At 47.1% G+C, this 12,116-nt stretch overlaps 1 protein-coding gene across 15 annotated transcripts in view, besides 1 other annotated feature; it reads right to left on the bottom strand.

The window, feature by feature from the left end:
* RNF220 (ring finger protein 220) overlaps positions 1 to 12,116 on the bottom strand; it is a 246,942-nt gene that overhangs the window by 146,445 nt on the left and 88,381 nt on the right. The window lies entirely within an intron of this gene.
* Positions 8,502 to 9,002: an enhancer, noted in NCBI's record as "H3K4me1 hESC enhancer chr1:44961950-44962450 (GRCh37/hg19 assembly coordinates)". NCBI's record gives its function as "activates a minimal SCP1, AML or CMV promoter by ChIP-STARR-seq in primed H9 embryonic stem cells {active_cell/tissue: H9 hESC(primed)}" and the evidence as "EXISTENCE:reporter gene assay evidence [ECO:0000049][PMID:30033119]".

Raw genomic sequence — 12,116 nt, 5'->3', positions numbered from 1 at the left:
CCTTGGGGTTGCCTGGGAGGGAGCCAGGACCTAGAGGATCTCTCCTGATACAGTGTGGTAAAGAGCAGCAAACACGTGCTCTGAAGTCAGGCAGATCTGGGTTCAAATCCTGACTGCCACTTAGAAGCTGTGTGATGCTGCACGAGGGACAAACTCTCCCAACTCCAGCTTCCTTACTTATAAAATGGGGGAAGTAACATATAGTGTATGGGGTTGCTGTAACGATAAATGAGGAGCATCATGGAAAGCGAGGGGCACAGTGCTTGGCTATTTCATGTCTAGTTCATGATAGTTTTTCTTCCCCTCTGAAAGGAATTCTTAGCCTTTACTTTTACAGGTCAGAACCAGTGATGTGGTTGCATCAATCTGAAATGGCCCTGAGGATACCACATGTTTCTAGCTCAAGGTGAAAGGGAACATTGGGAGAGGGAAGAGAGGCCAGAGACAAATTTGAAAAAAAGGATAGGTGCCAGCTTCTTAAGACAGATATGGTCACGTGCTTTTGGCAAGGGAATTTTCCAAAAAGAGATTCTCGGTCTGTGCCAAAAAAGATACTGATGCCAATGAGACACAGGTGCTGGGATCTTGTCACTGAGGTATCAGAAGCTGCTTACAAAATCAGATATGGAAGAGGGGACTTTGCTCTCTCCCTCACTGCTCTTTCCAATTCTAACCATCCTTTCATTATACCCGCCCACCCAGAAGCTCCAGAGAGCCAAATCGTGTCATGTGCTGTCACAAACCCGGATCCCTAAGAGGACTCTCAAAGGGACCTGCCATACTGGATCAGCCCCTCGAACTTCTGCCAGGTCCCATGCTCTGAATATGAGCACAGGGGGCCAGTCAAGGCTCAGAAGGGTCAGGGCCCAGACATCCCAGATAACGGGGTCCTTAAAAGTGTCCGTGTCCCAGCCATTCATATCCACATCCTTGGGCAGATTAGCCCAAGAACTAACCAAAAGACTTAGGTGCTGGGCTGGATTGGCCCCCATTAGCCCCCTGGCTTCTACCAGAGCAAGTTATTTTTGAAGTGCATCAGGAAGATCTAACCAAGGGTGGCAACATTGATCAGCATACCTAGAACTTTACGGAGCATCAGAATGATCTGAGAGCCTGTTAAAACACGGATGGCGGCCGGGCACGGTGGCTCATGCCTGTAATCCCAGTACTTTGGGAGGCTGAGGCAGGTGGATCACAAGGTCAGGAGATCGAGACCATCCTGGCTAACACAGTGAAACCCATCTCTACTAAAAATAAAAACAATTAGCTGGGCATGGTGGCACGCACCTGTAGTCCCAGCTACTCAGGAGGCTGAATCAGGAGAATCGCTTGAACCCAAGACGTGGAGGTTGTAGTGAGCCGAGACTGTGCCACTGCACCCCAGCCTGGCCAACAGCAGACTCTGTCTAAAAAAAAAACAAAAAACAACCCACGGATGGCTGGGCCCCACACCCAGAGCTTTCAGTTCAGTAGGCCTAGGGTGGCGCCTGAGGATTTGCATTTCTAAATTCCCAGGTGATGCTGATGCTGTTGGTCCAAGCTTTGAAAACACTAGCCTAAAATTCTTCCTTGGGTTAACTTTCTCAATGCCTTCTCTTCACCTCAGATCTGGCCTTGAAAGGGGAACAGAATGGCCTGGGATAGCTGTTTCTCTCCTGTGGGAGGTGATGTGGCAGAGGGCGGAACAGGGGGTGTCTGAGATTATATGTGGCTGCAAATCAGATGGACAAGTAAACCAGCAAAATACTTTTAATGTGGTATTGGATGAGGGCAGTGTGGGCATGGAGGTCTTCCCAGCACACTAATGTATGCACACATGGACATTCTCCTCTTTCTTCCCTTGGCCTGCATTTGGAGTCCAATCCTCTTTTTGCTTGGTGGGACACGTTTTCACCTCCAAAATGCTTTCCTTGGTAAACGCTTCTTTTTTTTTTTTTTTTTTTTTTGAGACAGCATCTGGCTCTGTCACCCAGGCTGGAGTGCAGTAGCGCAATCTCGGTTCACTGCAACCTCTGCCTTCCAGGTTCAAGTGATTCTCCTGCCTCAGCCTCCCAAATAGCTGGGATTACAGGCATGTGCCACCATACCCAGCTAATTTTTGTATTTTCAGCAGAGACGGGGTTTCACCATGTTGGCCAGACTGGTCTCGAACTTCTGACCTCAAATGATCTGCCCATCTAGGCCTCCAAAAGTGCTGGGATTATAGGTGTGAGCCACTGCGCCTGGCCCTTGGTAAACACTTCAAATGCACCCAACATTAAAGTAAAAAATATCAATGAAATCTTAAAAAATGCAGCCTGGGCAACACAGCAAGACCCCATCTCTCCAAAAATAAAAATAGAAAAAATTAGTCAGGCATGACAACGTGCTTCTATAGTCCCAGCTACTGGAGAGGCTGAAGCAGGAGGATCGCTTGAGCACAGGAAGTCAAGGCTGCAGTGAGTTACGATCTCATCACTGCACACCAGCCTGGGCGACTGAGTTAGCACTCTGTCTCTAAAATAATAATTTAATAATAATAATAATAATAATTCACACGTTTTTCTGTAGTATTCGCTTGTCAAATGAAGTTAAATGTGATGTATGTTACAATGTATTGTGTGGCATGTGTGATATTATCTCATTGGATTAGAATTATTTATTCTCCATTTGCTTTTCTGTTTAAGAATAAGCTCCTTCAGGGCAGGGACAGCTCTTATTTCCTCTGTGTCTCCTAGGGCCTGGCACAATGTCTAACACAAGGAATGCTGAGCAAATTATTTAGTGCATGAATATTTGCTCCAGGAAGATGAGGCCTAATACCATGCAGATGGTTATTACATGTCAAAATAAGAATAATCCCATTTTTATATTCTCTTTCCCTCTTCCTCTGATCTTTCTCCTCTCAAATATTTTCAGGCTGGAATTCAGGGATTGGTTCTGGAGTTATCTTTATGGTTGTAGAACCCCTAGAGCTGAGAACACACAGTGGTGCCATTTAGAGAACTGACTGCCCCAGTAGACTCCCAGAATACACTGGGACTCCCAGAACACTGGATCATGCGGCAGCCTTAGCCAGGAGCCTCATAAAGTGTATGTGTGTGTGTGAGCGTGTATGGTGTGTGTGTGTGTGTGTGTGTGTGAGAGAGAGAGAGAGAGAGAGAGACAAAGGATCATACTGCAGCCAGGAGCCTTACAAAGTGTGTGTGTGTGTGTGTGTGTGTGTGTGTGTGTGTGTGTGTGTGTGTTTCAGTGGTGTGAAGTCAGCTGGGGAATGCCAGGTGCCCACTCCCCAACTTGGAATTGCAGATCTCTAGCCTGCTGCGTGGCTGTAGCTCCCTTCCTCCTCCTTCTTTTTCTCCCAACATTGAGAAAGCAGTATGCTGCCTATTTCAAAGAGTATAATAGCTCCACATTTTTATGCTTCTTTTTGGAGCAATTAGAGTGCAGAGGAGGGTCAGCAGAGGGTAAGAGCGGAGAAAACAGCTGATTCCTGAGCACTAAGAGGTCCCAAGCCACCCAGCCCCCCTCTCCTGCACCAACCAAGCCTGCACTTGTCACAAAGTCAGCCCTGACAAGTGCTCTGCCGCCGCCGCTGTGCTTGGGTGGAGTAGAAACGGAGGGGAGAGAGGGAGGGAACTTCATTCTTTCCTGGCTTAAAAAGTCAAAGGCTCTGTAAGGCATGCAAAAGGAAGAAAGAAATTGTCCTGCTTGGCCGCATTGCTTTCCTTTCTTGACCAGTTCTGCCCACACCCAATAACCCCATGCTTCTCTGCCCAGCCTTCCTCCACCTGGGCCCGGGAAGGGAAATGGGACGCCTGCTCCTCCTCTGCTCACCCATCCCCAGCCTTTCTGCCAGCCTGGGTGTCCCACAGCTGACCGGCCTGCAAACAGGACTCTATCTGCAGAATCCACCCCCTCCCCCTCAACTCTAGCATTAACCTTTCTCTTTCTTTCAACAAAAGCCAAACTCTTTCAAAGCCAACCTGATTGAAATTCAAAAACTTTCCAGGGCCTCTGCACCACTCTCTACTCCTCCCCATACTGACAGCCGCTGGTCACCCCCCCACACCCTTCCCACTCCCCACCCCCAGCAATGTAGAAAATAGCGGGACAAAGGGCTCTCCCCACCCCCTCCCCCAAGCACAAGACTCTCCCTTTGTGTCACTGTGTCACTCGGGCTGGTGGAAAGGGAGAGCTGGCTCTGGGCTCTCCTATTGTCTCCCGATACCCCCACCCCCACCCCCACCCCCACAGCCTTCTGCAGCCTGGAGGCCTTGTGCTGGGTCCCGCTCAGTTGGCCAAATCGAGGGGCCTCTATGGGGCCCCCAGGCCCACTCTCTGACAGGACAGAAGAGCCAAGGGCCCGTCTATGCCCGAAGGGTGCTTCGCCCCTGGCTCCCGAGCCCCACGTTGTGGACTCCAGGGTGGACCTGGAGCCGCAGACCAAAGCTGGCTCCCTTATTTTCCTGGACACCAGATGGAGCTCCTCCCTCCCTCCTCTCTCTTTAGAGACTCCCTCCCTCAGCAGCAGCGGCAATTAGAATGGTCTGGCAGGCTCTGGGGAGGGGGATGCCCAGGTGGTGGCCAGGAGGCTATTAGAGAATGGAGACAGGCAGCCTGGGACACCTCCTTGTACAGAGCTGCAGCCGCTGGGGAGGAAAGGTCTAAACACGCTTCCATTAATTAATTAATTCAACAAGTACTCATTGAGCACCTATCATACACGCTCATTGGGGAAACAGCAGTGAACAGAACAAAGTTCTCCTTGCAGCGCTTACATTCCAGTGGGTGAGACAGACAATCAGCAAATCAATACATATTTCAGACACAAGTCCACCCAGAAAAAGAGAGCAAGACAAGGAGCCAGAGAGTGCCAGGTGGGGAGTATGTGAGATGCGGGTGGCAGCGGGGGTGTGTTAGGGAAGTCTCCAGATACAGGCAGAATTTAGACATAGGAAGGAGCGTCTGAGAAAAGAGACTTCCAGCCCAAGGGAACTGCAAGAGCAAAGGCTCTAAGCTGTTAATTAAGGAACTAAAAGGCTAAGGTGGAGACCCAAGGGCAGCGTGTGTAGCCTGTGAGCCCAGAGGGCAGGGAGGCCAGAGAGGGTAGGTCTCTCATGCCTGTAGAGAGGTTTGGATCTTACTTTGAACGAATGGCAAGCCAGAGGAGTCACAGAATTTGATTTATGTATTAAAAGGGCCGGAACAAGGGTAGAAGCAGGAAAACCTAAGGACTCTGTTGAAATTGTCTAGGTGAGAGATAGTAGTAGTGGCTTGGTCCAGGGTCATGTGGTAGAGATGGAGAGAAGCTGTCAGATTTGGGAACCAACAGGATTTGCTGATAGGCAGTATGAATGGTGTGGGAGACCAGAGTCCAGGATAACTTCAATGTTTTGGCCTGATCCAACTGGAAGACTGGAGTGGCTATTGACGGGCAGGGTAGAGATAAAGGACATAATCATTTGATCCTGTGCAGTTAGAATAAGGAGTTCAGTTTTGGACTTAACATTTGAGCTGCCTGTTAGACATCCAATTGGAGATGTCCAGTAAGCAGTGGAGTTGGTGAATTTGTAGTTCAGGGGAGAGGTCTAGGCTAGAGATATAAATTTGGGAGTCACCATGGAGCTGGTATGAAGCCCTGGAGGGATCACCTGGGAAGGTAGTGCGGATAAAGGAGAAGGGAAATCTGAGGACTAAGTCAAGGGTACTCCAAAGTTTAGCATCACTGAAAGGAGGAGGAACCAGCAAGAGGAACAAGCAGTGAGGAAGAAGGAGAACCAACAGAGGGTGTGTCCTAGAAGCGGAGTGAGGAAAGTGTTTCTAGAAGACGGGAGTGACAGATTGAGTATGATATGCACTGAGGACTGGCTGTTGGATTTGGCAATAGGGAGGTCACTAGTGACCTGGACAAAAGCCATTTCACAGGAAGGATAGGGAAAAATCTGACTAGTGAGGGTTCACCTGAGAATGAAAGGAGAGGGGGTGACCTAAAGGGGAACAGAGAAATGGAGAGGTAGCTACAGGGGGAAATGGAAGGCTTTTAAAATAGATGGTAAATATTTTTGCACGTTTGTGTGCATCAGAGCTTCCAGCAGAAAGGGAAGCTCTGATGGTGAGATTCAGGGAGACAATTACTAGAAGATAATCTAAGCTACATTAGGAAAGAAGTTAGGTGAGATGGGGTGGGGGACATGAAAGGCAGGCAGGGTCAATAGGGTGCAGTCCTTCCCATTGGAGTTGGAATTGGGTCACTACCAGGAGTAAATTGGCAGTTGGAGAGCAGGATGTTTAAGTTGGTTATTAGGAAGGGGTATAATTACTGGTAATGACAAGATTTCGGGATGAATATCAGAGTCTGTGACTGAGGTGGGATAGAGGACAAGTTTATTGGGGGAGAGAAGGTCAAGGAACCAAATGAGCAGGATATTGAAAACGATTATCTGAGTGTGGCCCTTGGAACAGCAGCACCATCAGCACCACTTGGGAACTTCTCAGAAATGCGCATCCTTGGGGGTCTCTAGACCTACCGAATCAGAAACTCTGGGCGTGGGGCCCAGCGATCCATGTTTTAACAAGTCCTGTTGAAAGACTTGATGATAGTAAGTTTGAGAATCCCTGGTATAGAGGGTTTTGATGGGTTGTGGCAGTTGAGGGGTCAGACATGGGGTCAGATGAGGGCAGCAGGTCTCAACCACGGCTGCACAACATTAGGATCACCAGGAAAATGAAAACTCCCAGTTGTGAGCCTGCGCTCCAGAATCAATTTCCTTATGATCTGGCAGGGAGGGGGACTTCAAGGATATCAGTATTTTTGAAAGTTTACTTAGTGGTTCCAATATGCAAGCAAGGTTGAGCACCACTAGATAATGGGGTATACAGAGCCCTACAGGAACGAAGGCTTCCTGGGAGTCAGGGAGCTTGTGTAGTGACTGAAGCAAATGGAGAGCTTGGTGACATCGGTCCTGGTACACTCTTGGGCAGAATTGGGTGGTGAGGCTGTGTGTGCTGGAGCTTGGGGTAGGACGGTATTATCAAGAGCATGTGGACCTCTGGAGTTACACCACACATCTGCCAATGGTTCTTTCTTTTCTAGGAACCCAGAAAAAAGTGTAGATTGGAAGGATGAATCTATAAATGAAAGAAATAGGGACCTTCGCCACTCACCAAATATATCCCATAGTAAATGTTGCTTTCCTTCTGGCACGCCTGGGTCTCCGGAAGCAACCACTGTCAGAGCTCGGTCGGGGCCAGGCCATGGCTGATCCATGGCTCCAGCCAGCAGCCTACTTGGCCAGGCCAGGCTTTTCCCCACTGGTTTTTGCTTAACGTGGAAGCACAAGCAGCTTTCCAAGTATCAAGCACCTTTGCCTTTGGCGCCAGTCCAGATCCCTCGGGAGTTCAGATGAGAAGAATTATAATTACCTTTGCAGAAAGATTTATCCTAACAATTAGGAAGCAACTTCCAGCAGAAAGAGGGGAGACACGAGAAAAGGGGTGCTTGCAGCAGTATAGTAGGTGCTCAATAAGGTGGCTAGTAAATGAACCAGGGATGAGGGGAATTGTTGAACTTGGGGGAATGGAGAGATTTGCATGTACCAAGGAAAGGGATGGGGATGATCACATACTCACGAGGTCTGACCTTAACACAGGAAGACCTGTTTGGACAGATTGTCTCATACAATTAGACAATATTAAGGCTGGAGGCGAGGATTATCACATGGTGGTGATGGGACAAGAAGGGATTGTCACCCACAGGCGGATGAAAGGAACTGGCACAAACTGTGGGCTGATCACACCCTGATGAGACCTGATGTTCCCTCAAGACTTGAGGATATTATCCCACACTGGTGGTTGAGACTCCTAGGGTTGTTTTATACAGGAAAACCTTGGTCTCTAAGCACAGAATGACCAGGTATTAACAATGCAATACTCTGTGTGTGTGTGTGTGTGTGTGTGTGTCAGGGAAGGGGAGATTATCATATAGATACGTGCCAAGAACCATGAAGACCCTTATGAAAGTATCTGGACTGTGGGTAGGGTAGGCACAACTGGAAAGGATGAGACAAACATATCAAATATGTCTGTCATGATGGCATTGTTTTAACGGGACCTCTAGAGATGCCTTGGGAATTCTAGGCTTGAAGGCCCAGAATTTATTGGAAAGGGGACACTAGTGTAACCGTTGCTTAGCATCTAGGGAAAATGGCAGAACTGGCCAGAGAAGAAACTGTCCCAGGGGTCCTATCCCCATCCCTAGGCCAGTGTCACAGAGGAGACATTACAGGCCAGGACTCTTCACCTTTGAGGCAATCACCAAGCCAGCAGGAGGCAGGCAGCACAGTTTTTCCATCCAACAGGAGTTTGGAGGAGGACCACAAGAAGGTGGAGGTGCCGCCCGCAGCTCTCACACTGTCTGCCCCAGCAGTTCCCTGCTCTCTGGGGTGAGCTGCAAAATTATTCCACATCCCCAAGTGAGCTGGCTTGATTAAGTTTTAATTTTAGCAACTTGCTAGGAGGACGGGGAGGCTGTTTCAGTGCTGGGGGGAGGGGAAGAGCTAGAGAAGAGCTGTGCTCTGGGCCATCAGCCCACACCACATGCATCTGCTACACAGCAGCACCACCCTGGACTAGAAAACCATGCCACTGTGGAGGTGGCCAAGGGCAGGGGTGAAAAGTGGGACCTGCTGAAGTGACAAGTCACCCTTTCCTACGCCGGGGCATGTGGCTTTTTCCCCTTGGACTCAGCTCTGCAGCATGGGATTGAGAGGGAGCAGTGGTTCATTAATTTAAGTCTTCCCCTTTTTTCCTTAGCATTAATCATTCCTCAGGTCTTTAGCCAAAGCTGTTCAGAGCAGGGCTTTGCATTTCATTCATTCATGAATTCATTCATTCTCATGCCTGTCTATCCCTCTTCCAGAGATATCTCATTCACTCCCACAGCTTCAGTTATAAATATTAGTGACTCTGACTCTCTATCATCAGCCCAGATCCCTCTGATTTCCATCCTCACAAAACTCTCTGTATCCCCAGCTTCACTGGGATTTCCCATAGGCACCTGAAATTCAGTTTGTCAAAAGCTGAGCTCATTCTCCCCTTCAAATTGATTTGTCCTTCCACCTTGGAGGATGGTCCCCCTGTCCACCCCATCACCTGGGCTATCCCTCAGCTACTCTTTATTCTCCACTTTGCAGCTACACGGCTCCTTCTAAAACCCAGATCTGAGCATGTTCTGCCCCTCTTCAGTAGCTTCCCGTAGTCTTTAGGATTCAGTGTAAGCTTCTTAGCAAGGCATATATATAAAAGCCCTGCACGAACTGACCCTTGTCTACCTCTCCAGCATCATCTCTTGCCACTGGTTCATTCACTCATTCATTCATCCATCCAGTAAGCATATGCTGAGTGGTTACTAAGGTGCTAGACACTACTCTAAATGCTGGGATACAGCAGGGAGCAAAACAGATGTCTGTCTTCCCAGAGCTGTAGCTCTCCCGATCTATTTTCTGTTACCCTCTTACCTCTGGGCCAATATATACAAAGTTTATTCTGCTAGAAAGCTCTTTGTCAGGCCAGGCGCTGTGGCTAATGTCTGTAATCCCAGCACTTTGGGAGGCCAAGGTGGGCAGATCACAAGGTCAGGAGTTTGAGACCAGCCTGGTCAACATGGTGAAACCCCGTCTCTATTAAAAATACAAAAATTAGCTGGACATGGTGGCGCACACCTGTAATCCCTGGCTAACTTTTATTCATTTTTTAGGTCTCCTGCATTCTCCTAACTAAATTAGGTTACGTTCCCTTACTAACTACATGCTTCCAAAGCAATCTGTACCAGCCCCATTTCATTGTAACTACTTTTTAAGTTGTCTGTATTCCCATTACACTATCTATTCTTTGAAAGCAGTCTTAGAGATCATCTTGCTGTAACCTTCGTGCCTAGCACTACTGAATTAATTAAGTAGATATTTAATTATCAACTGCTCTGTGCCAAGCACTGTGGTAGTCTAAAAATATTTATCTTGCCAGCCAAATCTATTCTTTTTTTTTTTTTGTATCTTTTGTTTCTGGTTTTATTTGTTTATTTGTTTTTTGAGACAGGGTCTCACTCTGTTGTCCAGGTTGGAGTGCAGTGGCATGATCATGGCTCATTGCAGCCTCAACCTCCCAGCCTCAAGTGATCCTCCCACCTCAGCCTCCGGAGTAGCTGGGACTACAGGTGTGTGCCACCACACCCAGCTAATTTTTAAATTTTTGGTAGAGATGAGGTCTTGCGATGTTGCCCAGGGTGGTCTTGAACTCCTGGGCTCAAGCAATCCTCCTGCCTCAGCCTCCCAAAGTGCTGGGATTACAGGCGTGAGCCACTGTGCTTGGCCTGTTTCTGTTAATGGTGCTATTCATTACTCCCAGGCACGCATCTTAGAAATTTCATTGTGAAGTGATTCTTCTTTTTAAAAGACAAGTTAGAGATTTGTTTTTATTAAATTCTATCTACTTTTTTTGATAGGTAATAATACATTGACAGGATTCAAAATTCTAAAGGTACCAAAAGAAAGAGCAAAAGTCTTCTTTTTACCCAGATCCTGGAGTCTGCTTCCCAAGAAACAATTTTATCTGTTTCTTTTGCAGATATTTTTTTCATATGCAAACAAATACATTTCCACAAATGGAGGCATATTAAATCTAGTGTTCTGTATCTTTTTTTTTTCTTTTTAACAATATGTCTTGGAGGTCACTGCATATTAGTAATCTAAACAGCTGTCTCATTCATTTTGGTGGCTGCCTGGTGCTCCATGTTATGCCTGTACCATGCAAAAAAATTATGATTTTTTTAACCTGCTCCCTAGAGAGGAACATTTAGGTTGTCTCAAACTTTTGCTGTTTCAAACAATGCTGCAAATGCTATTTCATGCATGTCTGAGAATATCTCTAGTTGAATTAATTTCTTTTTCTCGCTTGTACATCAATCATATTTTTAGCAAGTCTAATAGATTGTCTAGCCCCGTAATGTCTCTTAAGTTTATCCCTTCATCCCTTCTCCACCATCCCCACCATTACTGCTCCAGTTCAAGTCCTCATGATTCTTTTTTTTTTTTTTTTTGACAGAGTTTCTGCTCTTGTTGCCCAGGCTGGAGTGCAATGGTGTGATTTTGGCTCACTGCAACCTCCGCCTCCTGAGTTCAAGCGATTCTCCTGCCTCAGCCTCCCAAGTAGCTGGGATTGCAGGCACCTGCCACCATGCCCGGCTAATTTTGTATTTTTAGTAGAGATGGGGTTTCACGATATTGGTCAGGCTGGTCTCGAACTCCTGACCTGAAGTCATCCACCAGCCTTGGCCTCCTAAAATGCTGGGATTACAGGCATGAACTACCGTGCCTGGGCCATTTTTTTCCTTTTTTAATAGATACCTTTATTGACATATAATTCATATGCCATACAGAGACCCATATGAAGCATAAAATTCAATAATTTTATTTGAGTTTTTACTTTTTTTTGAGGTGGGGGAATCTCCCTATGTTGCCCAGGCTGGTCTCAAACTCCTGGGCTCAAATGATCCTCCAACCTTAGCTTCCCGAGTAGCTGGAACTACAGGTGCATGCCACTGTGCCCAGCTAAAATTCAGTAGTTTTAGTACAGGTTGCATATCCCTTATCCGAAATGCTTAGGATCACAAGTGTTTTTGGATCTGGGATTTTAGAATATTTATATATACATAATGAGATATCTTGGGGATAGGATCCAAGTCTAAACACAAAATTTATTTATTTATTTATTTTATTTATTTATTTTTTGAGACGGAGTCTTGCTCTTGTCACCCAGGCTAGAGTGCAATGGCACGATCTTGGCTCACCGCAACCTCCACCTCCCAGGTTCAAGCGATTCTCCTGCCTCAACCTCCCGAGTAGCTGGGATTACAGGCACCCGCCACCATGCCTGGCTAATTTTCGTATTTTTAGTAGAGACGGAGTTTTACCATGTTGGCCAGGCTGGCCTCGAACTCCTGACCTCGTGATCCACCCGCCTCGGCCTCCCAAAGTGCTGGGATTACAGGCGTAAGCCACTGCTCCAGGCCCATTTATGTTTTACATATACCTTACACACATAGCCTGAAGGTAATTTTACACAACAATTTAAATAATTTT

Source organism: Homo sapiens, chromosome 1, assembly GCF_000001405.40.
Source record: "Homo sapiens chromosome 1, GRCh38.p14 Primary Assembly".
Lineage (NCBI taxonomy): Eukaryota > Metazoa > Chordata > Mammalia > Primates > Hominidae > Homo > Homo sapiens.
Note: the sequence above shows the minus strand (reverse complement) of the source record. Positions and strands in the feature narration are given on the sequence as shown.